Source organism: Homo sapiens, chromosome 8, assembly GCF_000001405.40.
Source record: "Homo sapiens chromosome 8, GRCh38.p14 Primary Assembly".
Classification (NCBI taxonomy): Eukaryota; Metazoa; Chordata; class Mammalia; order Primates; family Hominidae; genus Homo; species Homo sapiens.
Window position 1 is genome coordinate 128,839,252 of NC_000008.11, and position 2,760 is coordinate 128,842,011.

Consider the following 2,760-nt stretch of genomic DNA (forward strand, 5'->3'; position numbering starts at 1 on the left):
TTTTGGTTTGCCCTCTTGCCAAATCCAAAGAAATCTCTGTATTCTATTGAATCTGGATATAAAGAATTTCCTGTAGTGTTTGACACACGGTAAGCTCTTTTAATAAAAGATTACCATCTCATATAAAGCTAATTGTATCTGTAAATTCCTGAAGAAAAGTGGCTTTTCTTTTTCTGCTTTTATTCTTATTATTGCCTCCTAAATACCAGGAGGTCAAGCGCAAATACTTGCCCAGTTGATGAGATTTTGTTGCGACTCACCTCCGAAATGGTCAAAAGTACATATTTCATGTTGCCTTTGTGTATTAAGTAGTCAATTCTGGAGTGGATAACAGCTATGATATGTTCTTACTAACTTTTTTCTTTTTTTTTTTTTTTTGAGACGGAGTTTCACTCTTGATGCCCAGGCTGGAGTGCAATGGCACGATCTCGGCTCACCTCAACTTCCGCCTCCTAGTTCAAGCGATTCTCCTGCCTCAGCCTCCCGAGTAGCTGGGATTACAGGCATGCACCACCACTCCAGGCTAATTTTGTATTTTTAGTAGAGACGGGGTTTCTCCATGTTGGTCAGGCTGGTCTCGAAATCCCGACCTCAGGTGATCCGCCCGCCTCGGCCTCCCAAACTGCTGGGATTACAGGCGTGAGCCACCTCGCCCAGCCGTTCTTACTAATTTAATCAGTAGGAAACAAGAGAAAAACCTTGCTCAGGTTTGCAAGATTTGATACCCACTAAGTTTTCCAGAACTCAGAGTTGAGGTGCAATAAAGGAGTAACTAAAACAAAACTTAAAGAGTAAAATAAATTACTGACTGAATATTTAGGGAGTCTGAGATAGTTAATTTAGCAAACTTCCCCAACTGTGATGTAAGTCTTGCTCACAAAGATTAAATAAATATGTTCTCACGTTATGTTTTGCATCAGTTTGCTGAACTTGCACAGAAGTTAATAACAAAAATAAAATCAAAAGTGACAACAAGGCAATCTAAGCAATGTTCCATGGGTTTCTTTGCCCTGTTGGGGAGCCTTCTTGCATAGGAGATATAAAGTCTTTTCCTAGCCATATGTACTACAAGTTTTGTCCTTGGCCTTTGTTATATATGCCAAATAGAATTAATGTGAGAAAGTGAACCAGTTTAGAAAGAGAGAAAGTCAGCTTGGAAGATATTAGGTTAGTTGGATCCTGCATCTTCCATGGATTATTTATGTTGTTTGATCCTAGTTTTAAAAGAGAAAAATCTGAACATCTTTCTGTTTTGTTGCTTTGCTTTTATTAGGGTGATCCAATAACTTAATTCTGAAGAGGAAAAAGGAACTATTTTTGGATGTTTTCAAATGGTACTTCTTTGTGCTGAAAAGAAACCTCTGTGTAGGCTGATTAAATAAAGCAAATATGTATTCAGATTTAGCCTAGAGTAATCAGAACCATCCCTAGTGTGATGCTGACTCATCACCACTGAGTAGAAGAAAAGGGAGCATGAGTTTTGGATTTATTATGAACCTGAGATTTCTTTCTTCCCTTGTCCCTAACCCACTGTGTGACCTTAAGAATCTTGTGTAACTTACCTGAATCTTAGTTCCTATTTTGGTAAAATAGAATAAATACCAGTCACCTTGCAATGGTTGTGAGGATTATGACTGAATGCCCACATTTTAGGTGCTCATTAAATGGAACTAAGTTCTTATGCTTTTGCTCACCAGACACTAGCGTCTACATAGAGTTATGCTATTGCTATACTATGCAGTATTCTGTTACTGCATGCTGGAAGAAACCAATGGAACTGAGCAAGCACCAGACCAATGGCCACATACACATTGAAGATCATCATCATACTGGCACAGAGATTTCTGTCAGATCTAGTTCCCTTTCTATTCTCTCTTCACACCACACATTTCCTTGGAATTAATTCATACCAATTACTTGATATGACCAAAAAGTGAGTCTGATGGTGACAGAGCCCACATTCTGCCTCCCTCAATGTATCCATGGGCAGTGCATCCACTGATGGGCACTTAAGATGAAGAGCCTCATGAGGCCAGGGATGTGGGATAATGACTTGAACTATATTCAGTTTTGGGAGTTCAAACTTTTTTAAATCTGCCAACCTCACAATTGGGACTAAAAGGCCAGAAGATCTATCATAAAAGAAACTGAGCCTGCTAGAACTTTATCAATTCACCAACAGGGCCTGAAGACTGGTTGGGAGCAAAGGGGAGGTGTGATATAGGGAATAGTATAACAGCTAGCACCTGAATATGGGTTGATCAGCTCTCCTAGTGGTGTTTGTAAGTAGTTAAAGAACAACATGGATGAAACTGGAAACCATCATTCTCAGCAAACTATCGCAAGGACAAAAAACCAAACACTGCATGTTCTCACTCATAGGTGGGAATTGAAAAATGAGAATACATGGACACAGGAAGGGGAACATCACACACCGGGGACTGTGGTGGGGTGGGGGGAGGGGGGAGGGAGAGCATTAGGAGATATACCTAATGCTAAATGACGAGTTAATGGGTGCAGCACACCAACATGGAACACATATACATATGTAACAAACCTGCACGTTGTGCACATGCACCCTAAAACTTAAAGTATAATAATAATAAAATTTTTAAAAAAAAAGAACAAGGTGTGATAGTTAATTTTATATGTCAACTTGGCTGGGCCGTGGGATGCCCAGATTAAACATTATTTCTGGGAGTGTCTGCAAGGGTGTTTTGAATGATATTAGCATTTAAGTTGGTGGATTCAGTAATGTAA